At 36.5% G+C, this 25,309-nt stretch overlaps 1 protein-coding gene across 2 annotated transcripts in view; it reads left to right on the top strand.

The window, feature by feature from the left end:
* Window positions 1-25,309, top strand: part of TMF1 (TATA element modulatory factor 1) — a 32,507-nt gene that overhangs the window by 3,702 nt on the left and 3,496 nt on the right. Inside the window, exons 2-16 of one of the 2 annotated variants that reach the window (NM_007114.3) lie at window positions 70-1,274; window positions 4,037-4,140; window positions 4,756-4,882; window positions 5,720-5,825; window positions 8,939-9,081; window positions 9,623-9,789; window positions 9,912-10,068; window positions 13,517-13,609; window positions 14,928-15,084; window positions 18,625-18,817; window positions 20,337-20,406; window positions 20,640-20,732; window positions 22,535-22,636; window positions 22,920-23,072; window positions 24,452-24,577. In NM_007114.3, coding sequence (NP_009045.2) covers window positions 70-1,274; window positions 4,037-4,140; window positions 4,756-4,882; window positions 5,720-5,825; window positions 8,939-9,081; window positions 9,623-9,789; window positions 9,912-10,068; window positions 13,517-13,609; window positions 14,928-15,084; window positions 18,625-18,817; window positions 20,337-20,406; window positions 20,640-20,732; window positions 22,535-22,636; window positions 22,920-23,072; window positions 24,452-24,577 — 2,996 coding nt within the window. Of the gene's footprint in view, window positions 1-69; window positions 1,284-4,036; window positions 4,141-4,755; window positions 4,883-5,719; window positions 5,826-8,938; window positions 9,082-9,622; window positions 9,790-9,911; window positions 10,069-13,516; window positions 13,610-14,927; window positions 15,085-18,624; window positions 18,818-20,336; window positions 20,407-20,639; window positions 20,733-22,534; window positions 22,637-22,919; window positions 23,073-24,451; window positions 24,578-25,309 lie in introns of both variants that reach the window. The other variant, NM_001363879.1, reaches the window with a different exon arrangement.

Raw genomic sequence — 25,309 nt, 5'->3', positions numbered from 1 at the left:
TATAATGATGATTGAAATATTAATGTAACATATATGTGTTCTTTTTTAATATTTACTTTTTTGTTAAAGGAATAAGTTCCCCTGTCAGTGGAGGATGGGATACTTCAACCTGGGGGTTGAAATCAAACACTGAACCTCAGAGTCCACCAATAGCCTCTCCTAAAGCAATCACAAAGCCAGTTCGGAGGACTGTGGTCGATGAATCTGAAAATTTCTTCAGTGCCTTTCTCTCGCCAACTGATGTCCAGACCATTCAGAAGAGTCCAGTGGTATCAAAACCTCCAGCAAAATCACAACGACCAGAAGAAGAAGTGAAAAGCAGCTTACATGAATCCTTGCACATTGGCCAGTCAAGAACTCCTGAAACAACTGAATCACAAGTAAAAGACTCTTCTTTGTGTGTTTCAGGGGAAACTCTGGCAGCAGGTACTTCATCACCTAAAACTGAAGGCAAGCACGAAGAAACTGTTAATAAAGAATCGGATATGAAGGTGCCAACTGTAAGTTTGAAAGTATCTGAAAGTGTAATTGATGTGAAAACAACTATGGAAAGTATATCTAATACGTCTACGCAGTCTCTCACAGCAGAAACAAAGGACATAGCTTTGGAACCTAAGGAACAAAAACATGAAGACAGGCAGAGCAATACACCTTCTCCTCCTGTTAGTACCTTTTCATCAGGTACTTCTACCACCAGTGATATTGAAGTTTTAGATCATGAAAGTGTAATAAGTGAGAGCTCAGCGAGCTCGAGACAAGAGACTACAGATTCAAAATCAAGTCTTCACTTGATGCAGACATCTTTTCAGCTTCTCTCTGCATCTGCTTGTCCTGAATATAATCGTTTAGATGATTTCCAAAAACTCACTGAGAGTTGCTGTTCATCTGATGCTTTTGAAAGAATAGACTCATTTAGTGTACAGTCATTAGATAGCCGGAGTGTAAGTGAAATCAATTCAGATGATGAATTGTCAGGCAAGGGATATGCTTTAGTGCCTATTATAGTTAATTCTTCAACTCCAAAGTCTAAAACAGTTGAATCTGCTGAAGGAAAATCTGAAGAAGTAAATGAAACATTAGTTATACCCACTGAGGAAGCAGAAATGGAAGAAAGTGGACGAAGTGCAACTCCTGTTAACTGTGAACAGCCTGATATCTTGGTTTCTTCCACACCAATAAATGAAGGACAGACTGTGTTAGACAAGGTGGCTGAGCAGTGTGAACCTGCTGAAAGTCAGCCAGAAGCACTTTCTGAGAAGGAAGATGTTTGCAAGGTAACTCTAGTAAGTGGAAGGGATTTTTAGATGTGCTTTTTGGAGATTAAATCATTTGTTTTAAAAAATACTTTCATTGATGCATAATAATTTATACAGATTTAAAAACATACGCATTTTGCCATTTCTGTGTAGCATTAAGTACCTTGAAGTTGAACAATTATTAATATAATTTGGAATTTCTCCAAGGCAATTATGGTAGAATAAGTTGATACTTCAATACAGTTAAGCATGAAAGTTTTCATCTTACATCTTTATTTTTGAGTCCTTATCACTTCAAAATTCTGTTATGCTTATTAGTATGTCAATTTGAAAGGAATATTTTCTTACATTAACATGTATCTTCACCTCCTTTGCAGATAGATGTGCCAAAAAAACTAAATGTTATGGTTTTTCTTGTATCAGAATTTGTTTTTACATGTTTACATTATTTGTAGCAAATATTAAATGATAATTTAAGATTTTAATTATTGGTGCTTTTCTGTTATTAGTATTTTCATTCATATATAAGGAGTATATATCCTTATATTGCTTCAGTTTGTTTTCTGCTTATGTTATTTTTGAGATCTCCTATTGATAGCTATATTTCACATGAACGAGAAAGAGAAATGTCTAAGGAACAAAAGCATTGCTTAGGAGGGACAGATTGCTTCTACCTAATACATGTGAAAGGAAAGTGATATAAATTCTTTGACATTAAGTCCTAGTTTTGGTTTTTACTGTGACTTTTAGATATACAAATTTAGTTGGATCTGGTATCTTTAATAGACTTCTGAGATGTAGGATGTCTTGAAGAAATGTCCTGTAAGTGCCATGTATTGAATTACTTAATTTTTTAAAAAAGTGCCAGATTCTGTTAATCAGGTTAAATATTCACAAACAAAATGCTGTGCAATAATATTTCAATTAGTAATAGCTATATACTGTAAGATATATAATAGGAGTTTGAATTCTTAGAAACCAGCACTAATTACTATCAGATATTTTTGAATTTCAGTGTATTTAAGAAGGTAAGTGATTTCTAAGTTCATCTAAACCAAACTCAGGTAAGACTATTTTTTTGAGTCCAAAAAGGAACCCTTCCTACTCCTTTTATACTCAAGTTTATCACCATTTGAGTAGGACCTAAGGAATTAGACATTCCAAGCATTACTTTTTGTTTAGCTTTATACTGATACATTATGGAGATTTAAAAATTCTTATGGGTTTTCTAAAATTACTTTTAGTGTGGATGGATGTATGTATGAATGAGACAGGGTCTCTCTCTATTGTCCAGGCTAGCGTGCAGTGGTGCGATCGCGGCTCACAGGGTCTCTCTTTGTTGCTCAGGCTGGTGTGCAGTGGTGCGATCATGGCTCACGGCAGCCTTGACCTCCTGGGCTCAAGCAGTCCTCCCACCTAATCCGCTCTAGTAGCTGGGACCATAGGCTCGCACCACGCCTGGCTATTTTTTTGATTTTTAGTAGAGATGAGGTCTCACTATGCTGCCAGGCTGGTCTTGAACTCCTGGGCTCAAGCGGTCTTCCCATCTTGGCCTCCCACAGTGCTGGGATTATAAGCATGAACCCGTGTCCAGCCCTACTTTTATTTTATTTTATTTATTTATTTTTTGAGGCGGAGTCTTGCCCTGTTGCCCAGGCTAGTCTGCCTCCCAGGTTCAAGTGATTCTTCTGCCTCAGCCTCCCAAGTAGCTGGGACTACAGACGTATGCTACCATGCCTGGCTAATTTTTGTATTTTTTGTAGAGATGGGGTTTCACCGTGTTGGTCAGGCTGGTCTTGAACTCCTGACCTCAAGTGATCTGCCCTCCTCAGCCTACCAAAGTGCTGGGATTACAGGCATGAGCCACCATGCCCGGCCTCTACTTTTATTTATTTATTTATTTTTACTTTTTGAGATGGAGTTTCACTCTTGTCACCCAGGCTGGAGTGCAAGATCATTGCAGAATCTTGGCTCACTGCAACCTCCACCTCCTGGGTTCAAGCGATTCTCCAGCCTCAGCCTCCTGAGTAGCTGGGATTACAGGTGCCTGCCACCATGCCCAGCTAATTTTTGTATTTTCAGTAGAGACTGGTTTTCACCGTGTTGGCCAGGCTGCTCTCAAATTCCTGACCTCAGGTGATCCCCCCACCTCAGCCTCCCAAAGTGCTGGGATTACAGGCATGAGCCACTGCGCCTGGCCTACTTTTATTTTTTAAATGCAATATGTCATATTTTAAAAAGGGTATGTGTTTCGGGTAAAGAATAATACAGAAAATAGACACTTGTGTATCCACCACCTAGCTAAAATATAGAGGCTTTAAATTTCCTCTTTGACCTCTTTTGATTGCATCCATCTCCCTTCTTCTTTTGGTGTGTATGCAGATTATTCCAGATTTTTGCTATTACCAGGAAGCTACATAAAGTATTCTTATACATGTCGCCTAGTGCATTTATGCAAGAATTTTCTCCTCTAAGGTATACCTAAAAGTGAAATTTTCTATATCAAAGAGTATGTAGATCCCCAACTAGATATTGCCTAATTGTTTTCTCAAGGGGTTTCTCAACTTACACTCCCACTAGCTATTTGGTTGTATTTACTTTTACTCTCCTCTCAGCTGCCTAAGAGTTCTTCTTGTTCTGGATCTTCTGTGTTCCTAATACTGTTCTTGATTGTTTTTATGAGATAAAGCTGTTTTCTTTGTTACAGTGATACACCTGCATGTAAAAATGGTCTTTTTTAAAGCTAAGCGTTCTGACTTTTATGTATTCGCCTTATCCAGACAGTTGAATTTCTGAATGAAAAGCTGGAAAAAAGGGAGGCTCAGTTATTATCTCTTAGTAAGGAAAAAGCACTTCTAGAAGAAGCTTTTGATAACCTGAAAGAGTAAGTATTCTGCAAATGTGAATAATGTTACACATTTTCTGGAAACCTGTATACTTTGTACATATTTAAGAATGTTTTTGAAATTAAAATGTTTTGTAATTTTATCATTATTGAAAGTTGTATAGCTTTCAATTATAACCCTAAAGATTACTTTTCTCTTTTGATTGTCTTTACCCTTTGCCATTGAAGAGAGTCATTTTGCAAAACTGGAAAACTCTTTCCTTTCGTTTTTAGTCTTTTAGTATTAGAGATTTAAAACGTATTTGAAGAAAACTGTGTTAATCAATAACACAGTTGTGCTATAAGGAGCTGATTGGGAAAATGTGATACAAGAAGATTCAGAATTGAAACATTGTATTTACTCTTCTCTTATTTTTACATGTCAGATATTGGTGACATTTTCTCTTTCTAACAGATTTTCTTTGAGGTGTTTTAAAATAAATTTAACAAGGGAAATTTCCTTTTTTTTTCTTAAAAGTTAATAGGCCTAAAACTGTTCTATTTTAATAAGGTATATGTCAGAGAAAAGTTATCTTCCTTTTGAGAATTGAACTCATGTATACCTTTGGGATATATAGACACCATCCTCATTCTCAAATATTATTTTAAATTTAGTGAAATGTTCAGAGTGAAAGAAGAAAGCAGTAGCATTTCTTCCTTGAAAGATGAGTTTACTCAAAGAATTGCAGAAGCAGAAAAGAAAGTTCAACTAGCCTGCAAAGAGAGAGATGCTGCTAAAAAGGTAATTGAAATTTAAAGTAATATTAATTAAACTCTATAGAGATATAGATTTTTGAGGAGTGCATTCATCGTATTTTGATATTGGAAAAAAGAGAAGTAAGGTGAAAAGGATATCATCTATTAACATTTAAATTGTAGATTTTTGGCCACGTGTGGTGGCTCATGTCTATAATCCCAGCACACTGGGAGGCTGAAGTGGGCGGATCACTTGAGCCCAGGAGTTAGAGAGCAGCCTGGGTAACATGGTGAGACCCTGCCTCTACTAAAAAATACATAAAGTTAGCTGGTCATGCTGGTGTGCGCCTGTGGTCACAGCTACTCAGGAGGCCGAAGAGGGTGGATCGCTTGAGCCCAGGAGTTCAAGACCAGCCTGGGCAACATGGCGAGACCTCATCTCTACAAAAAATACAAAGATTAGCTGGCCATGGTGGTACATGCGTGTGGTCCCAACTACTCGGGAAGCTGAGGTGGGAGGATCACCTGAGCCTGGGAGGTTGAGGCTGTGGTGAGTCGTCATTGTACCACTACTCCAGCCTGGGTGACAGAGTAAGACCCTGTCTCAAAAAATAAAAATAAAAATGAAAAGGAAAGTTAATTTATTCTCATTTATATTTTCATATTAACACTTGCTTGTATATCTGAATTTAGGTTTTGAATATCATTTTCAAAGTTGTTTTCTTAGTCTTAGTTAACCAAGGTAGTAGATTAACTGAACAAAACTTACAGATTCTTATTGCAAATGTGATTATGGACAGCTTCTTTGGATGGGGGAGAAATGAGAACTGTACTTAGAGTGAAAGTCATTCTTTACGGTATTCACAGATTTCTTTTTTATTAGGAAATCAAAAACATAAAAGAAGAACTTGCCACTAGATTAAATAGTAGTGAAACTGCAGACCTTTTGAAAGAGAAAGATGAGCAGATCCGAGGGTTAATGGAAGAAGGTGCGTATAGTATTTGGTTGACTATGAAAAATACTGTAAGAACAGGAAAAGTACTTGCCACATAACTAGCTGATGCTTCCTAATTAAAAATACTGAAAGCAAGGAGGGTTTGGACGTAAACCATAGAAATAGGTGACAGTTTATGGAAGAATGAGGAATAAGATATATTGAGACAGAGATACGTGTTTCTAGCTTTTGTTTTTTGGAAGTAAAAAGAAAAGTAAGTCCCTGTAAAATAGACAGAAATTTGTGCTGCCCTAAGAAAACTTTAAACAGGTCTTAAGAGCCTGTCATTTAAACCAAGACATTCAAAGTGTGTAACTCTGGGATTTATGTAATATCTGAATACCTAGCTTAAGTACTGTATGATATTGTCTTTTTCTGACATTTGATAGTGAATTTTTCATTGTATTAATTTTTAAATTATTAAGCACTTTTGTCTCTGAAAAGATTTAAAATAAACAGGGTTGGCTGAGTGTGGTGGCTTATGACTGTAATCTCAGCACTTGGGGAGGCAGAGGTGGGTGGATCATTTAAGGTCAGGAGTTCGAGACAAGCCTGGCCAACATGGTGAAACCCCGTCTCTACTAAAAATACAAAAATTAGCCGGGTGGTGGTGGTGCGTGCCTCTAATCCCAGCTACTCAGGAGGCTGAGGCAGGAGGATTGCTTGAGCCTGGGAGGTGGAGGTTGCAGTGAGCCAAGATCACGCCACTGTACTGCAGCCTGGGCGACAGAGTGAGACTTTGTCTCAAAAAAATAAATAAATAAAATAAAATTAATAGCATTACAGAAATTAAAGATCTATTCATGAAATAAATCATTACAAATGGATACTGAATTAATTTCTTCATGTAATATCCTGGGAGAGAGGAGCCTTTGGAAAACGTGGTCAAGTGAATCTCTCTTTTTATTTCTCTTGTTAATTAAAGTTTTTGTAGTTATAAGAGTAATACTTGCTACTTGTAGAAAGTTTTGAAGTTATAGGAAAGTATATGAATAAAGAGGAAAAGTAGATTATAATCCAATATTATAAGGAACTATTAATTTTTTCTAGTTTTAATGTATTTTTTAATGCATTTTTAAACATATTTAAGATCATATATTTAATTTCCAATCTTCCTTCTCTTACATCTCTCTATGCCATTAAATGCTTTTTATCATTATTAGTGGCTGTATTAAAGTCCATTATATGGGTATACCATAATATGTTTTACTATTTCTAGTGTTGTACATTTATTTTTATAATGTTAATAATATAGTTAGTGGTAGGATGAATGTTTTTGTGCTTAAATCACTGAACTTAAGTAAATTTCCAGAGAAAGGGTAGCGTTTGAGAACAGTTGGAAGCAGTCATTTCATTTGAAAGTTAGCTTTATCCAACTTTTTCATTTATTCAACTAATATTTATTGAACGGTTAGTATGTCAGATACTATGTTTGATACAATAATAAGTATGACACTCTGTCCTTTAGGGGCTTAGTTCAGTGAGAGGGAAATATAGGAACACAGATAATGATAAAACACAATTCTAAGCACTAAAATAGAAAAATGAAGGAACTGTTGTTATAATTATTTTCTCAAGATGTCTTGAAGTCATTAACTGCCTTGCCTTACAATATCAGAGACTGAGGGGAAGGCTAACTGCATGGTTTTCTTATTTTAAAAGAGTTATTTGAAATATTAATATCGAATGTTATTATTTTGTAATTTAATAATTTTGTCAGAGAATGAACTGATGTCTTCTTTTGCTTAATGAACCTTTTTACAGAGAAAATAGAGCAATTTCACATGGGAGTATTTTATATTCACAGAGTATTTACATTTCACAAAAGGGTATTATATATTGTTTCCGCGTGCCCCAGAAAAATTTTTTTTTTTTTTTTGAAACAGAGTCTCACTGTGTTGTCCAGGCTGGAGTACAGTGGCATGATCCCGGCTCACTGCAACCTCCGCCTCCCAGGTTCAAGCAATTCTCCTGCCTCAGCCTCCCGAATAGCTGAGACTATAGCTACCTGCCACCACGCCTAGCTAGTTTTTGTATTTTTAGTAGAGATGGGGTTTCACCATGTTGGCCAGGCTGGTCTTGAACTCCTGACCTCTGGTGATCCGCCTGCTTCCCAAAAGTGCTGGGATTACAGGCGTGAGCCACTGCACCCGGCCAGTATTTTTAAAACTTAAAGCTAAAGAGCTGTAAAACTCAAAGCTGAAAGCACACTACAATGAATACCTGATTACTTCATCACCTAGATTCATCAGGTGTTAACATCTTGCCACAACTCTTCCATATCTTTCTGCACATACATACACTACCCTTTTGTCAACTCATTTGAAAGGAGGTTACAAATACCGTAACATTCTGCTCCTAAATTCTTCAGTCTACATCTCCCAAGGGCAAGTACGTTTTCCTTGACAGGTACATCATAGTCAAACCTAAGAAATCAGCATTAATTCAGAAGTGTAATCCAGCATATATTTTAATATTAATCCTAGTTGTCTCTAAAAGTGTCTGTTATAATTGATCATTTGTTCTGCCCCAGGATCCAAAGTTTGCCCATTGCATTTGATTGTTATGTCCTTTTAGTCTTCCATCAGTCTAGGACAGTTCTCTCTTCTTTATGTCTTTGAGGACTCTGTAGAGTCTAGGGCAGTTGTCCCACAGGATGTCCCACCCATGTTCGGGAATTTGTTACTTTCTTCATGATGAGATTTAAATTAGATTTAGTTCATATTTCTAGTAGGAAATATCTGGGTGATATTGAACAACTATATCACATCAGCAGACACATATTGTCAGGCTGTACTACAATTGGTGATGCCAAAACTGAATGCTTAGTTAAGGAGTTGACTGCCAGATTTTTCTCTTTAAAATTAGTAGGTGATATATGAGAGTGATTCTTTAAGACCGTGTCAATATCCAGTTCCCAACAACCTTTTACCCAATAATTTTAACATTCATTGATGATTGCTGTCCAAATTAGTTGTAACATTGTGGGTTACAAAATTGTAATTTAAAAAAATTCTGTTCTTTTATGTTACTATTAGATAAAACATTCTATTGAGATTTTTAGGGAATAGTTATCATTTGAGTTTATACTTCTTTACCATCACCAGGAGAAAAACTTTCAAAACAGCAGCTGCACAATTCTAACATCATCAAGAAATTAAGAGCTAAAGACAAGGAGAATGAAAATATGGTTGCAAAGCTGAACAAAAAAGTTAAAGAGCTAGAAGAGGAGTTGCAGCATTTGAAACAGGTGAATAGCAATCATAATTCTCTACATATATATTGTTATTACTTCCTGTATGAACAGTTGGCCATGGTTATGGAGCATTTGAAAAGATTTAATGGGGTATATCATGTAAGAAGGATTTTTCAAACAATAGATAAATGATAAGATTTTTTAGCCGAGTGGGGTGGCTCACGCCTGTAATCCCAACACTTTCGGAGGCTGCGACAGGCAGATCACTTGAGGCCAGGAGTTTGAGATCAGCCCGGTCAACAAGGCGAAACCCTGTCTCTGCTAAAAATACTGCACCAACCTAATACAAAAATTAGCCGGGCGTGGTGGTGCACATCTGTAGTCCCAGCTACTTGGGAGGCTAAGGCACGAAAATTGCCTGAAGCTGGGAGGCAGAGGTTGCAGTGAGCCAGAACATTCCACCCTGGGCAATAGAGCGAGACTTTGTCTCAAAAAAATATATATTTTTCTCCATTATTATAGATTCCTGGAATACAGTTATTTACCATGGTATTATTTCTTGAAAAATACTTTTGTCTGTTTTTATAACATATAGGTCCTTGATGGCAAAGAAGAGGTTGAGAAACAACATAGAGAAAATATTAAAAAACTAAATTCCATGGTAGAACGCCAAGAGAAAGATCTTGGCCGTCTTCAGGTAGACATGGATGAACTTGAAGAAAAGAACCGAAGTATTCAGGCTGCCCTGGATAGTGCATACAAGTAAGAAAATGAACAAATATGCAACCCATTTAGAATGAATTATCAGAGTAGGATGTTGAAGAAATACTTTTTCTATTATCTGATCACTGGCAACATTTATAAACTCAATCTAATTTTTTAAGAGAACTTACTGATCTTCACAAAGCCAATGCTGCAAAGGATAGTGAGGCACAGGAAGCTGCTCTGAGCCGTGAAATGAAAGCTAAAGAAGAACTTTCTGCAGCATTAGAGAAGGCCCAAGAAGAAGCCCGTCAGCAGCAAGAAACATTAGCCATTCAAGTAAGCAATGGATGATGAATTAGAGTAGTTTTAAAAATATTTGTTTATGCTTCTACAAATTAAACAATTAGCTGGTTTGAATCAAACAATGTAGTGATACATGTGTTAGATTTCAGAGTACTGGATTCTGCTAAATTTAACCAGTTGTGTTTTTTAAAACTGTTAAAGTAATGCTTACGTGATACCAGTATTGTTTAATTTTTTTGAGTTTTAGACCCATTTGAGAGTATTATAAAAGCTAGGAACCCTCTTAGAAGAGAAGAGCAAAAATGCACATACATATTGCATATAATTTTGAGAGAATCCATTTAACTCCTGAGCTCATTCATAACATCTGTGGGAGTCCAAGGACCTCAGATGAAGTAGGAAAAACAAAATTTGTGAGGCTTTGTCTTATCAAATCATCAGTTGATGGGCATATGGGTTATTTATACTTTGTGGTTATTATCAATAATGCTGCTTTAAATATCCATGCACAAATTTTTGTGTGAACATATATTTTAAATTCTCCTAGATATATATCCTTAGGTCATATGGTAACTCTATATATTTAACTTTTTGAGGAACTGGCAAACTTTTCCACAGTGGCTGCATTACTTTACATTCCCACCAGCAATAGGTGAGGGTTTCAGTTTCTCCACATCCTTGCCAAGATTTATTATTGTCTGTTTTTAAAAGTATAGCCTTTTTAGTGTGTGTGAAGTGGTAACTGAGTATGGTGTTGATTTGCATTTTTTTTTTTCAATTTATATATATTTTTTGAGACAGAGTCTCACTCTTGCCAGACTGGAGCACAGTGGCACGATCTCAGCTCACTGCAACCTCTGCCTCCCGGATTCAAGCAATTCTTCTGCCTCAGCCTCCTGAGTAGCTGGGACTACAGGCAGGTGCTACCATGCCTGGCTAATTTTCTTTTTTTGTGAGACAGAGTTTCGCTCTTGTTGCCCAGGCTGGAGTGCAATAGCGCAATCTCGGCTCATTGCAACCTCCACCTCCCAGGTGCAAGTGATTCTCCTGCTTCAGCCTCCCGAGTAGCTGGGATTACAGGTGCCCACCACCATGCCCGGCTAATTTTTGTTTTTTTTTAGTAGAGACGAGGCTTCACCATGTTGGCCAGGCTGGTGTTGAACTCCTGACCTCTGGTGATCCACCCGCCTCCGCCTCCCAAAGTGCTTGGATTACAGGCATGAGCCACCATGCCCGGCCACCCTGCTAATTTTTTTTTGTATTTTTAGTAGACATGGGGTTTCAGCGTGTTAGCCAGGATGGTCTCAATCTCCTGACCTCGTGATCCGCCTGCCTTGGCCTCCCAAAGTGCGGGGATTACAGGCGTGAGCCACTACGCCCGGCTGATTTGCATTCTCTTAATGACTAATGATGTTGGATGTCTTTTCATTTGCTTATTGGCCATTTATGTATCTTCTTGGGAGAAATTAATTAAAATATTCAAATCCTTTGCACATTTTTAAATTGGGCGGTTTGTCTTTTTATTGTTATTATGAGTTCTTTGTATAATCTGCATACTAGACCTTTATCAGATATAGGATTTGTCAATATTTTGTGCCTCTCTGTGGGTTGTCTTTCTTTTTCTTGATAGTGTCCTTTGATGCCAAAAGGTTTTAATTTTAACAAAGTCTAGCTTATCTATGTTTTCTTTTGTTATTTGTGCTTTTGGCATCATATTTAAGAAACCATTGCTTAATCCAAGTTTATGCAGATCTTCATCAGTTTTCTTCTAAGAGTTTTGTAGTCTTAGCTCTCACATTTAGGTCTTTTGCATGTGGATATCCAGTTGTTGCAGGACCAGTTGTTGAGAAAACTATTTTTATTGACTCCTATGCCCTTTTGATTTAATTTTAAGTTTTGTATGTGTAAAACATTTACATGATTCCAAAGTGAGAGCAAAATCTATTCAGACATTTACTTCCAATTTAGCTGCTCCCCATTTCCTCTCTTTGCCTGTAGGTAACCATTTTATTAGAGTTTGGCTTATCTTTTCAGTGTTTCTATTGGCAAAATGCAAGAAAATATATGTATCTATATACTTACATGTTCTGCGTACATACACATTCGCTTATACACCTATTTCTGTCTCCTACATCCTTTTTACATAAATGACAGTTTATTATTCACACTGTTTTATAACTTGTTTTATTTTCTTAGTAAAATATCCTGATGATCACTCTAGTAAAACATAGAGGTTTTTAAAAAATATCTTTTTACAGTTTTATAATACTTCATTAGGTGAAGGATTTTCAGCTCTTTCTTATTGATAGATTATACACCTATTTCTATCTCCTACATCCTTTTTACGTAAATGATAGTTTATTGTTTATACTGTTTTATAACTTGTTTTATTTACTTAGTAAAATATCCTGATGATCACTCTAGTAAAACATAGAGGTTTTTAAAAAATATCTCTTTACAGTTTTATAATACTTTATTAGGTGAAGTATTTTCAGCTATTTCTTATTGATGGATATTTGGGTTATTTTCAGTATTTTGCTATTATAAGTCATGCCATGGTCCATATATCCTTTGTGTTTCTGCTGGGATAGATAAAATATCAGTAATTTAAATTTAAAATACGTTAGAATAATAATAATACAGAAAAATTGGGGGAATGGGAGATAGAGCATATATGAGTTACCATGCATAAATCCATCACTTTTTCCAAGTACTGTCAGTTTTGTGTGTTAGTGTTTCATTCTATTCCCATATATGTGTTTTTCATAATTGATGTCTTACGTGTTATTTTATAGTTTTTCCATTTAATAGTATATTAGAAATTTTTTTTACATGTTTTATACATTTATTGTAATTTTTAATGGTTATATTCATGTTGTATCGACATTTGCAACTATAGATTACTAGTGATGGAGATTTAGAATATTTCCAGTTTTGTTTTTGCTAGCCTATTTAATACTGTAGGGAATATCCCTGTGTATTTACGTATCTGCTTTCTTAGAGTGAATTCCCAAGACTAGGATGGCCCGGTGAAAGGATGTGAGAAGTTTGATGATTCTTTAAACATATTATAACGTTTTCCAAAAAGGCTATGGTAGTTTATAATGTATGCTCCTGCATATGAGTGGAGCCCCCAGCTTTTATAATCCGTATAGCACCTATCACTTTCTGTGTGATGTGGCAAATATTTATAGACGCACTGTCTTTTCTCCAATATTGTATGGTAATGGCTATGCCTTATACATATTTGTTTGCGTTTCTTTGCCTTAACAGAATGCTTTTCTAAGTAAACATTGAATATACATACAGTTTTAGAATTGCTTGATGAATGAGAGATGTGATAATCATATGTAAAAGTTCATTGGAGAGTATGAAATAGTATACATGAACAATGTTGACACAACACAAAATATGTAGTTAGTGGGAAGTTATAGATAATACTGTACCATTGTTTGTGAATGTATTGTTTCTCCTCCTACAGGTGGGGGACCTTAGGCTTGCATTGCAGCGTACAGAACAAGCGGCTGCCAGAAAGGAGGATTATTTACGCCATGAGATCGGTGAACTTCAGCAGGTACTGTCACAGGTTTCCAAAACACAAATCCAAGAAGTATGTGTTTTTCTAGAAATAAAAGAATTCCTCAGTGGGATAGTGTTCATGGAATTGAGAGGATTACTGTCACACCTAGCATTTGCTGAATTTTTGTGGCTTGTGTGAATAAATCAGAGTGGGCACCTTAAAAATTATACAAGGAAATTCCTTATTTTGTTTTATAGAAAATAATGTTATGATAGATTTGTTATATGTATTCAGTATTGCTTTTCCATTTGTAATCGCTTATTAATGATTGTCAGTCTTTGATTACTGTGGGACAGGTAATAGTTCCCGGTTTCTATGCCTCTGTTAATTTTCAGTCATTTATAACATGCAGAGGAAAAGGGAGAGAAAATACAATTTAGGTTGATTTTTCAGTTTTTATAAATACTTAGAAATATTTGGATGAGGAGGTAACTACTAAGAGGTTTGGATGAACTCTTTTTTAACCTTCAGGTAATTGAAGACTATCTTAGAAACGCTTTTTAAAGAAGCACTTATTTATTTATTTATTTAATTTCTTTATTTTGAGACAGAGTCTTGCTCTGTTGCCCAGGCAGGAGTGCAGTGGCACAATCTTGGCTCACTGCACCCTCTGCCTCCTGGGTTCAAGCGATTCTCCTGCCTCAGCCTCCCAAGTAGCTGGGATTACAGGCGTGCACCACCATGCCCAGCTAATTTTTGTATTTTTAGTAGAGATGAGGTTTCACCATGTTGGCCAGGCTGGTCTTGAACTCCTGACTTCAGGTGATCCACCCACCTCAGCCTCCCAAAGTGCTGGGATTACACACATGAGCCACCGTGCCTGGCCAAAGAAGTACTTATTTAGATACTGTATTACACAATCTAACTCTCTTGGAAGGATTGAACAGTTAGAAAAATAATTAAGGGCTGGGCATGGTGGTTCATGCCTATAATCCCAATGCTTTGGGAGGCTGAGGCAGTCAGATTGCCTGCTCAGGAGTTCGAGGCCAGCCTGAGCAACATGATGAAACCTCGTCTCTACAAAAAAATACAAAAATTAGCCAGGTGTGGTGGCGTGTACCTGTAGTCCCAGCTGGGAGGATCGCTTGAGCCTAGGAGGTTGAGGCTACAGTGAGCCACGATTGTGCCACTGCACTCCAGCCTGGGTGACAGAGCGGGACCCCGTTTCTAAAATTAATAATAATAATTAAAAAGCAAATTATTTTCTCTTGGAAAAATAATTTTCCAGGAACCTCTCAAAGTTCAGGTTTGCTAGTGTTTTTAATGTTTTTATTGCTGTCATTGGTAATGACTTCAGAATTTCATGATTCAGAGACTCCAGGAAGCAGAGAATCGAAACCAGGAACTGAGTCAAAGTGTTTCATCAACAACAAGACCATTGCTTCGACAAATAGAAAATTTGCAAGCAACCCTGGGATCCCAGACATCGTCGTGGGAGAAATTAGAGAAGAATCTTTCTGATAGGCTTGGTAACTGCTTTAGTTTTTATGCTCGATGCAGAAGCTCTTCCATCTTGTTTATAGAATTAGAATAATGGTATGAAATTGAAATTCATTTGATCTGATAGTTACATTTTGTGTCTAATATGTAGATTTTTACATTTTCTCTTTTTCTACATGTATTTTTAATACCTTTATTATGTCTCTTTCAAACCATTTTTTCCCATTACACAATGGTATCAGATACTGGCTAAAGTACTTCCATGTCATTCTTTCATTCAGTTCTTTTTTTTTTTTTTTTTTTGAGATGGAGTCTCACTCTTTCACTGAGGCTGGAGTGCAGTGGCGCGATCTCGGCTCACTGCAAGCTCCGCCTCCCAGGTTCACACAATTCTCCTGCCTCAGCCTCCTGAGTAGCTGGGATTACAGGCGTCTGCCACCATGCCTGGCTAATTTTTTGTATTTTTAGTAGACTGCTGCACTCGATTTTTTTTTCTTGTCCATTGCTAAATCTGACCCCTTTGTAGCTTGTCTGCAGTAGTGTAGGAGGTAGAGATCATATATGATTCTCATCACTGGTAGAATTCCAAGAGCGAAAATAGGTCTAAGGAGAGTCAAGATCGACCTTAGAAGAGACATACTAGGGAGTCTTAAGATTCCATATTCTGGCAGGGCGCGGTGGCTCACACCTGTAATCCTAGCACTTTGGGAGGCCTAGGCGGGTGGATCACTTGACGCCAGGAGTTCAAGACCAGCCTGGCCAACATGATGAGACCCCCGTCTCTACCAAAAATACAAAAATCAGCTGGGTGTCATGGCGCATGCCTGTAATCCCAGCTATTTGGGAGGCTGAGGCAAAGAATCCCTTGAACCTGGGAAGCAGAGGCTGCAGTGAGCTGAGATTGCGCTACAGCACTCCAGCCTGGGTGACAGAGCGAGACTGCATCTCAAAAAAAAAAAAAAAGATTCCATATTCTGCTTCTTTACAGTCATGCCCCAGGTTGCCCTTCTGTGATGTTAATAAAAAGAAAAGTATTATTCTAAAATGTTTCCCTTCAAGCACAGACAGCTAGTGTATGTATATTATAGGTATCCCAGAAGCTAGCAAATTCATGAAAAATTCATGTATGCCTTCTACGCCTGACACTAAATGTAATTTGAGAAATCACAGTGTAGTGATAAAATCAGACCTAAATATGAGTCAGGAGACATGGACTCAGGGTATTCTGTTTTGAATCATCCAGCAAAACAGTGTGGAACAAGTCACTTATATTGTTCCAACTATCTCTGTGCTATTCCTTGTGAATCGGGGGGGTGAACTAGATTAGTGACTTTCAAATAGTATTCAGTGGACTCTTAGATACCTTTGGGGCTGCTGTCATGGTGAGAGGGAAGCTTGATAAATAAGAGGCTGGGCTTCTCTAGCTGCTTTAATGAAAATAGGGCCTCCTTTGTCTATCTTTTTTTAATTGGAGTTCCATGAAAGATTTGGTCTAGAAAAAGATTCATTTACTTAAAAAAATGAACTGAATTAGATAAACCTTCATATATATTTAAATTTATAGGTATAAATGTTAGGTCTGTCGTTTATCTCTGACAGCTTTTGAGAGCAATGTGCTGTGAAATATGAGACATCTGAAAATGATATCTTTTGAAATAAATATTTAGCAATAAATGAATGCTAGAAACTGGTACTTTTGTGGTTTTTAGACTGAAGTCTACATACCCTCAGCAATATGTGGTATTGTGCTAGCATATAGGCAAAGCCACAGGACAAACATACCAAGGAATGCTATTAAAAAGACCATAGCTATGCTGTGGAGCAGAGTGTAAAATGTGAAATAGAGGTATTACTAGCTCTACTTTGGTGGAGAAAAAATACAAGAATTCTTACCTAGGTTAAATCTCAGAATCTTACCCATTGCTCTTTTTTTCAATTGAAAATTTTTGTTGATATAATGTAGATTCATGTGCAGTTATAAGAAATAATATAGAAAGGTCCTTTGTACACATTGCCTAATATCTCCAAGTATTAAAATCTTACAAAATTAATGTATAATATCACAACCATGGTATTGACATTGATACAATCTACTGATTTTATTCAGATTTCCAAAGTTTTATTGGTACTCATTTGTGTATGTGTGTGTGTGTGTGTGTATTAAGTTCTAAACAACTATACCACATATCCATTACCATAGTCAAGATATTGAACAGTTCCAACACTATTGAGTCCTTCCTGTTAGCTTTTTTTCTTTTTTTCTTAGCTGAAAATAATCACTCTTAATGTTACCCTTTTGGAAACACACCTACCACTCTCTCAACCCTTCCTCCCTTGTCCCAAATCTCTGGCAATCACTAATCTGTCCTCTGTTTCTAAAATTCTGTCATTTCAAAAATGTTACATAAATAAAATTATACAGTGTATGACATTTTGGGTTTGGCTTTTTTCACTCAGTGTAATTCCCAGGAAGAGGTTCACACAGTTGTTTTTGTATCGGTAGTTTAGTCTTTTTATTGCTGAGTGTTATTCCATAGTATGTACCACGTATATTTAACCATTCACTGCACAAGGGACGTCCAGGCTGATTCCAAGCTCTGGCTATTACAGATAAAGCTACTGTGAATATTCATGTACAGGTTTTAGTGTGAACCTAAGTTTTCATTTCTCTAGATAAATGCCCAAGTGTGCAATTGCCAGGTCATGTTTAGTGTTTTTAAGAAAATGCCAAACTGTTTACAAAGTGGCTGTGTAAGAGTAATGTGGTTTCTTCACACCCTTGCCAACATTTTATGTCGTCCCTGTTTTTTCTTTTAGTTACTCAGACAGCATGTAGTGATATCTCATTATGATTTTAATTTGTATTTTTTCCCTAATGGCTAATGTTATTGAACATCATTTTATGTCCTTATTTTCCATTTGTACATTCTCTATGGTGAAATTTCTGTCTATGTCGTTTACCCATTTTCTAACTAGATTGTTATATATTCCTGATACTAATCCTAGATATATGGTTTGCATTTATTTGCTCTCACTCTGTAGTTTGCCTTTTCATCCTCTTCACATAGATTTAAAAGTTGAAAATTTTGAAGCAGTTTGTCAGTTTTTCTTTCTATGGCTCTTGCTTTTTGTGTCAAATCTGCCTTGTTCTAGATCCTGAAGACTTTCTCCTCTGTTTTTTCCTAAAAGTTTTATAGTTTCATGTTTTACATATAAGTCTATGATCCATTTTGAGTTAATTTTCGTGAATGATGTGATGTGTAGGCTTTTTGGTTTTTTTGCATATAGCTGTCCAGTTGCTCCAGGACCATTTGGTGTTGGTGATCCACTACTCTTTTAATGCATGACTCCATTTTGAAATTAAAATACTTTTGGAAAAGAGTGATAAAGCAGGTATAAGTTAAGATTGGTTCATTTGTCTCAGTAGACAGTCCTGCCTTAGGCAATAAATAGTTATCAGTTTTAAGTGTGGCTACTTGCATCATTAAATGTTTGAAATCAGAATTGACTTGGTATTTTGGTCTCTGGGCTGTATGTGTATGTGATTTTTTTTTCTGTCCTGTAATCAGGTGAATCCCAGACCTTGCTGGCAGCAGCAGTTGAGAGAGAACGTGCAGCTACAGAAGAACTCCTTGCTAACAAAATTCAGATGTCTTCCATGGAGTCACAGAATTCTCTTTTAAGACAGGAAAACAGTAGATTTCAAGCCCAGCTAGAATCAGAGAAAAATAGGCTGTGTAAACTGGAGGATGAGAACAATAGGTGAGCATGGTTTCTGAGTGATATTTTTGGTAGTTCCGTGACATCCTAAAGCACTTTTTAAAAGTATGTTGTTGGGCCGGGCGCCGTGGCTCACGCCTGTAATCCCAGCACATTGGGAGGCCAAGGCGGGCGGATCACTTGAGGTCAGGAGGTGGAGACCAGCCTGGCCAACATGGCGAAACCTACTCTCTCCTAAAAATAAAATTAGCCAGGTGTGATGGTGTGCGCCTGTAATCCCAGCAGCTCGGAGGCTGAGGCATGAGAATCGCTTACACCCGGGAGGCGGAAGTTGCAGTGAGCCAAGATCCCACCACTGCACTCCAGCCTGGGTGACAGAGTGAGACTCGGTCTCAAAAAAAAAAAAATAAATTAAATAAGTAAATAAACAAAGTATGTCGTTGGCTTTTAGCTTCAGGGTACCAAGAACTAAATGTAATCACTTTTAGCATTTAAAGTTAGGGTTATTAGTAATAGGATATTATGGCCGGGTGCTGTGGCTCATGCCTGTTATCCAGCACTTTGGGAGGCTGAGGCAGGTGGATCACCTGAGGTTAGGAGTTCAAGACCAGCCTGGCCAACATGGTGAAACCCTGTGTCTACTAAAAATACAAAAATTAGCCAGGCATGGTGGCAGACGCCTGTAATTCCAGCTACTCGGGAGGCTGAGGCAGGAGAATTGCTTGAACCTGGGAGGCAGAGGTTGCAGTGAGATTGCACCATTGCACCCCAGCCCGGGCAGCAGAGCGAGACTCCGTCTCCAAAAAAAAAAAAATAAATAAAGTAATAGGATATTATAACAAGAAGATAGTACTGGGATTCATTGTCATGTAGATTGTTGAGATTGTGTGGCATGTTTTGTATTTATTTTTTTTTCCAGGGAAAGGATTTGTACCTTTAATCAGATTTTTTAAAGGGGCCTATAACACCACAAAATAGTTTTGAGACTACTCTTTGGAGTTACTTTTATATTACAAGGATTTTAGTAGTATAATTTAAGTCTTTTCTAAATAAATTTCTGGGTTCTTGGAAACCATGGGGTGTAAAATCCATCTATCTGAGATTATATTAAGGCAATGGTTAGTATTTTTTAACCCTCTGTTCTTCCTTGGAAATTTTACTTTTTAAAAAAATGTCAAGTAAAAATGATTTCTAAAGTAAAATATCTGAACTTTTAGAAACATTTTCATAGAACTCCCTAATAAGCTTTGTGGAATCTGAGCATATTATAGGATGATGGTACTCAAAATTATTTTTATAAAGTCTCTTTTTAAATGAAATCTTAACCCAGAGCACCAATAAATAAAATGCACAGAAGTGGAGCTTTTTCACTTTTGGTTTGGTTTCTGAGTGAAACTCAGATGGGATCTGGAACACACTGTTGGAAAATCACTGATGTCAAGCTGGTAATAAAAATGATTTCTCAATATGTAGCTGGAGTTAATAAAGTACTGAGTTTTTAATAGTCTATACTAGCATCTTTTTCATTTTCTGTTTTTTTAAATTCTGCCTTGTTTAATAGGTACCAGGTTGAATTGGAAAACCTAAAAGATGAATATGTAAGAACACTTGAAGAGACGAGGAAAGAAAAGGTATTTCTCTTCGTGACCACTCAGCTCTTAGGGCATACATTAGAGAATGGTTGGGGATGGCAGCAAATTAATGAGATAACAAGATGAAATGGGTGATGCCACTGCTTTTGGAACTTGGTCTTTAGTAGGAAAACAAATATGAGTTTATACTTTATGCTTCTAACTTTGAGATTGACTTATCATGGCATGAATTACTATCACAGAAATTGTCTAACTTTATTTCTCTCTATTAGACATTGTTGAATAGTCAGTTAGAAATGGAAAGAATGAAAGTTGAACAAGAAAGGAAGAAAGCCATTTTTACTCAAGAAACAATAAAAGAAAAGGTATTGAATTTTGTTTTTGTTTGTTTGTGGTGTAACCATTTAGTAGATGCTGTGATTAATCATTGCTTTTTAATTTTAGCTATGCTTTATAACAAGCTTGTCCAACCTGTGGCCCTGGTTGGCATGTGGCCCAGGATGATTTTGAATGAAGCCCAACACAAATTTGCAAACTTTCTTAAATCATCATGAGATTTTTTTCATGATTTTTTTTTTTTTTTTTAGTTCATCAGCTATTGTTAGTATATTTTATGTGTGGCCCAAGACAATTCTTGTTCTTCAAATGAGGCCCAGGGAACCAAAAGATTGGACATCCCTGCTTTATAAGTATCATTTTTTTAATGTCTAAAATCAACATAGTGATGAATTCTAGTATTATAATCAGTGTCCTGCTCAGAGTGGACCCAAAGTAATTTTGAGTTTATCCAAAGAGATCTATGATTTCTAGGACTTGAAATATAAAACCTCTTGCCCTTTTTAAAAATGAATTTAATTGTCTGTCACTGAAACCAGTGCACATCATTTGGTCTATAGGCACTTAAGGAGTAAGTCTGGCTTGTTTTCTTTCTGGTTAATGAGGGTAATTTTTCTGAAATGAGTTTTCTGAGGCTGAGCATGGGGACTCACATCTGTAATCCCAGCACTTTGAGAGGCTGAGGTAGGTGGATCACTTGAGGCTAAGAGTTCAAGACCAGCCTGGCCAACATGGCAAAACCCCATCTCTACTAAAAATACAAAAATTAGCCGGGCATGGTGGCATGTGCCTGTAATCCCAGCTACTCGGGAGGCAGAGGTGGGAGAATTGCTTGAACCCGGGAGGCGGAGGCTGCAGTGAGCCGAGATCGCATCACTGCATTCCAGCCTGGGCAACAGATCGAGACTCTTTCTCAAAAAAATAAAAATAAATAAATAAATAAAAATGAGTTTTCTGTATTGAAAGAATTACCGTGTACTTGGAGTTAGCATAATATATTTAAACTACCGATAGGTAAATTTAAATTACCTATTGAATTTATTTGGAATTTTAAGAATACATTAAAAATAAAATGGATAAGCCAGAAATTTTATGATTTGTAACACTCATTAGTAATTTTATGTTACAGAAATAGGTTTAATTGATAGTATATTGTATAATATGAAGCTTAACAGAAACATTCTTATTCTATTATAAAAACCCAACAAATTACATTGTTGTAATAAATGGGTTCTGTGATGATCTAACCAAGTCTAGCTACAGTTTTAATTAGTAAATATTGTACTTTTTTTTTGTTTGTTTGTTTTGGAGACTGAGTTTTACTCTTATTGCCCAGGCTGGAGTGTAGTGGTGCTATCTCAGCTCACCGCCACCTCCACCGCTATCTCGGCTCACCGCAACCTCACCTCCCAGGTTCAAGCGATTCTGCCTCAGCCTCCCGAGTAGCTGGGATTACAGGCATGCGCCACCACGCCCAGCTAATTTTGTATTTTTAGTAGAGACGAGGTTTTTCCATGTTAGTCAAGTTGGTCTTGATCTCCCAACCTCAGGTGATCCACCCTCCTTGGCCTCCCAAAGTGCTGGGATTACAGGCATAAGCCACCATGCCTGGCCAAATATTGTATTTTTGACTTAAGAAGCCATTTTATGGGGAAATTAGAATGAATCTTAAAAAAGTTTTTTTTCTTCTTTTGATTGTATTGAATTCCTTTGTAGTGTGGCTTTTTTAAAAGACTGAATCTTTGTTCTCATTAACCCTAGGAAATGTTCTTGCTTTCTCTGCTTATCTCTTTGCTCTTTAATATGAACAGAATTTTTTTTACTCCCTAAGGAACGCAAGCCATTTTCTGTTTCTAGCACTCCCACCATGTCACGCTCAAGTTCAATAAGTGGTGTTGATATGGCAGGACTACAGACATCTTTTCTGTCTCAGGTGATGTTTTATTTTTTATATGTGCTTAGTTCTTAGAATAATAATAAAGGAAATATGCAAATGGCAATATTGTCTGTCATCATGACCTTGCCATTCTATGGGTAATTCATCTGAATACTTGTGGAGGAGTGCTAATTTTAGTGAGAGGAAACACGTGAATGATTTTCTGCCTTTGAGAAGACATTTAAAGCAAAAATTGACAGAACCATTTTTGTTCGAACCTGGTAATGGAAGACAAGCTATGATAACTGAGTAACTGTGTGAACTTTCTTAATTAACATAGGATGAGTCTCATGATCACTCATTTGGACCAATGCCTATATCAGCAAATGGAAGCAATCTTTATGATGCTGTAAGGATGGGAGCAGGATCAAGCATAATTGAAAACCTACAGTCTCAGCTAAAGCTAAGGGAAGGGGAAATCACTCATTTACAGGTATTGGAAAAATTAAATTTGCTATAGAAGTAAATGAAGTTTTGAGGCCTAATAAATAGCACCCTTCATTTCCATCTGAATTCTGAGCAAATTGAGAAACAAGATGACATAGTGGCATGTGAAGCCCAAAATGTATCACATATATCAATGATAAAGGCTAAAAAGAGAAATTAGCTAAGGATAACAGCCAACTGAACCTGCTAATTGCCAGAATTAGGCATATTCGGCTGATCTGTCACAGGAAATGCTGGGCTGGAGCAGGCCTCCCATGTTTTACAACCTGCCTACATAAGACATAAGCATCTAGGAGCAGAGAATCCCTCCTCCTTTCAAGCAGCTCTTTCCCAACAGAATAAAGGGAAGTCACTGAGCTGTGAATGCCTGTTCTATTCAGATTTACCTCTTAGATAAGTTGTTCCAGCTACCCCGGGAAGGAGGGGTAAAGGGGATGAGATGTTTGAACTGTAACACCCTGTACATGGGAGGAAACAACATGAGTTGTTGATGGAGCATCCTTCCATCTTACCTTTTTGGCTTTTAAAAAACTTTATGCAGTCAGAAATATTGAAATGTTTTACAGGTTTGAGCATCCCAGCTCTGAAATCTGAAATGCCCCCAAATCCAAAACTTTGAGTGCTGACATGCTGCTCAAAGGAAAAGCTCAATTGAGCATTTTGGATTTCCAGATTTGGGATGCTCAACCAGTAAGTACATAATGCAATTATTCCATAATCTGAAAAAAAAAAAAAAAAAAAAAGAAATTTGAAACATTCCTGGTCTCAAGCATTTTGAATCAGGATACCTCTTTTCAGTGTTAAACACAATACACTCAGAAGTAGGTAAAAATTCAACTCCCATTATATACTTTTAGTTATATGAAAATATTAAAGAACTTGAATTGGCAAAAAGTAGATCAGACTAATCTGAATCCCAGATGTTTGTATAGCTGGTATGCTATACAGGGACCTAATTAATTTCTTTGGTAGTGATGAAAGCCTCTGTCGATACAACCTACACAGGTGGGGCTACGTTAAAGTATATTTTTATTTCTCTGGGTTCTTGTAGTAATTTAGAATAACTGAAATATATGTCATTTCCTTAGATTAGAAAAATATATGGTTGAATGTTTTCAAACAAATAATTGGATTTATCTCTGTTGCACAGTAAACCTTATAAACGGTATACCTCTCAGGAAAGTTGGGACCGTTTTTCTGCCACTGTTTCCTTTACTTAAGAAAGAGCTAGCTCAAGGTTATATGTTGACATGTCTATTTCAAAAAAAAAAAAAAAACCACACACACATTAAATATTTTTATATTACTGGGAGTATTAAAAAAGATATGTTTTGATTTAAACTATTTTGTGGTAATGCTTCTCAGCTAGAAATTGGCAATCTAGAAAAAACTCGATCAATAATGGCTGAAGAACTAGTTAAATTAACAAATCAAAATGATGAACTTGAAGAGAAGGTGAAGGAGATACCCAAACTTAGAACTCAGCTAAGAGTAAGTATTCTTCACCTAAGGATGAGTCTAAGATATTTTAGTTCATTTACTTTAAATCTCATGTTTTTAATTTATAGTATGTGTTAGTGATTTATTTGAAAATTAAAGAGTACTAATATTTGAGCAAAGAAGTTTAAAAATGAATCTTTTATCTTGCTTGTATCTTTACATATTCAAAGTAATTTTCACAATCATGTTTAGTCCCAGTATAGGAAAAGAACTAGATTTCATTTGGCTACACTTCATTTATAACATTGAACTTTGTATGATCTTAGTAATATTTTGTTGATTGTTGTTATATGTATCATCACAATTGTCTCATCTGGATGTTAGAAGACACTGTTAAGCCATAAGTGAGAATATGTTTTCTTTTGATCTTTCCTGTGGTGTGGGCTAAATGCCGGGTAATACTTATACCACCATGGAACAAAGAGACTAAATTTTATATCAAGTGTGCTTACATTAATGGGAGAGAAGTCATATATGGGGAGAATTGTAGATTTAGTGGAGAGATAGGGTAAAATTGATAGCCATCTAGCTTGGTTTTTTTCTTTAATTCCTTTTTTTGCTATTTAGTTCAACATAGACTGAAGTGTGAGTTTAATTTTTAAAAGAGATGAGTATATACTTTTATTTAAATTGTAGTGTTTTCATTGTTGACTCCTATGGCAATATAAATATTAAAGATGTTCTGTGTAGTTATTTTAAAAATTGTAAACAAATACATTTTTC

Source organism: Homo sapiens, chromosome 3 (genome assembly GCF_000001405.40).
Source record: "Homo sapiens chromosome 3, GRCh38.p14 Primary Assembly".
NCBI classification, from domain to species: Eukaryota; Metazoa; Chordata; class Mammalia; order Primates; family Hominidae; genus Homo; species Homo sapiens.
Note: the sequence above shows the minus strand (reverse complement) of the source record. Positions and strands in the feature narration are given on the sequence as shown.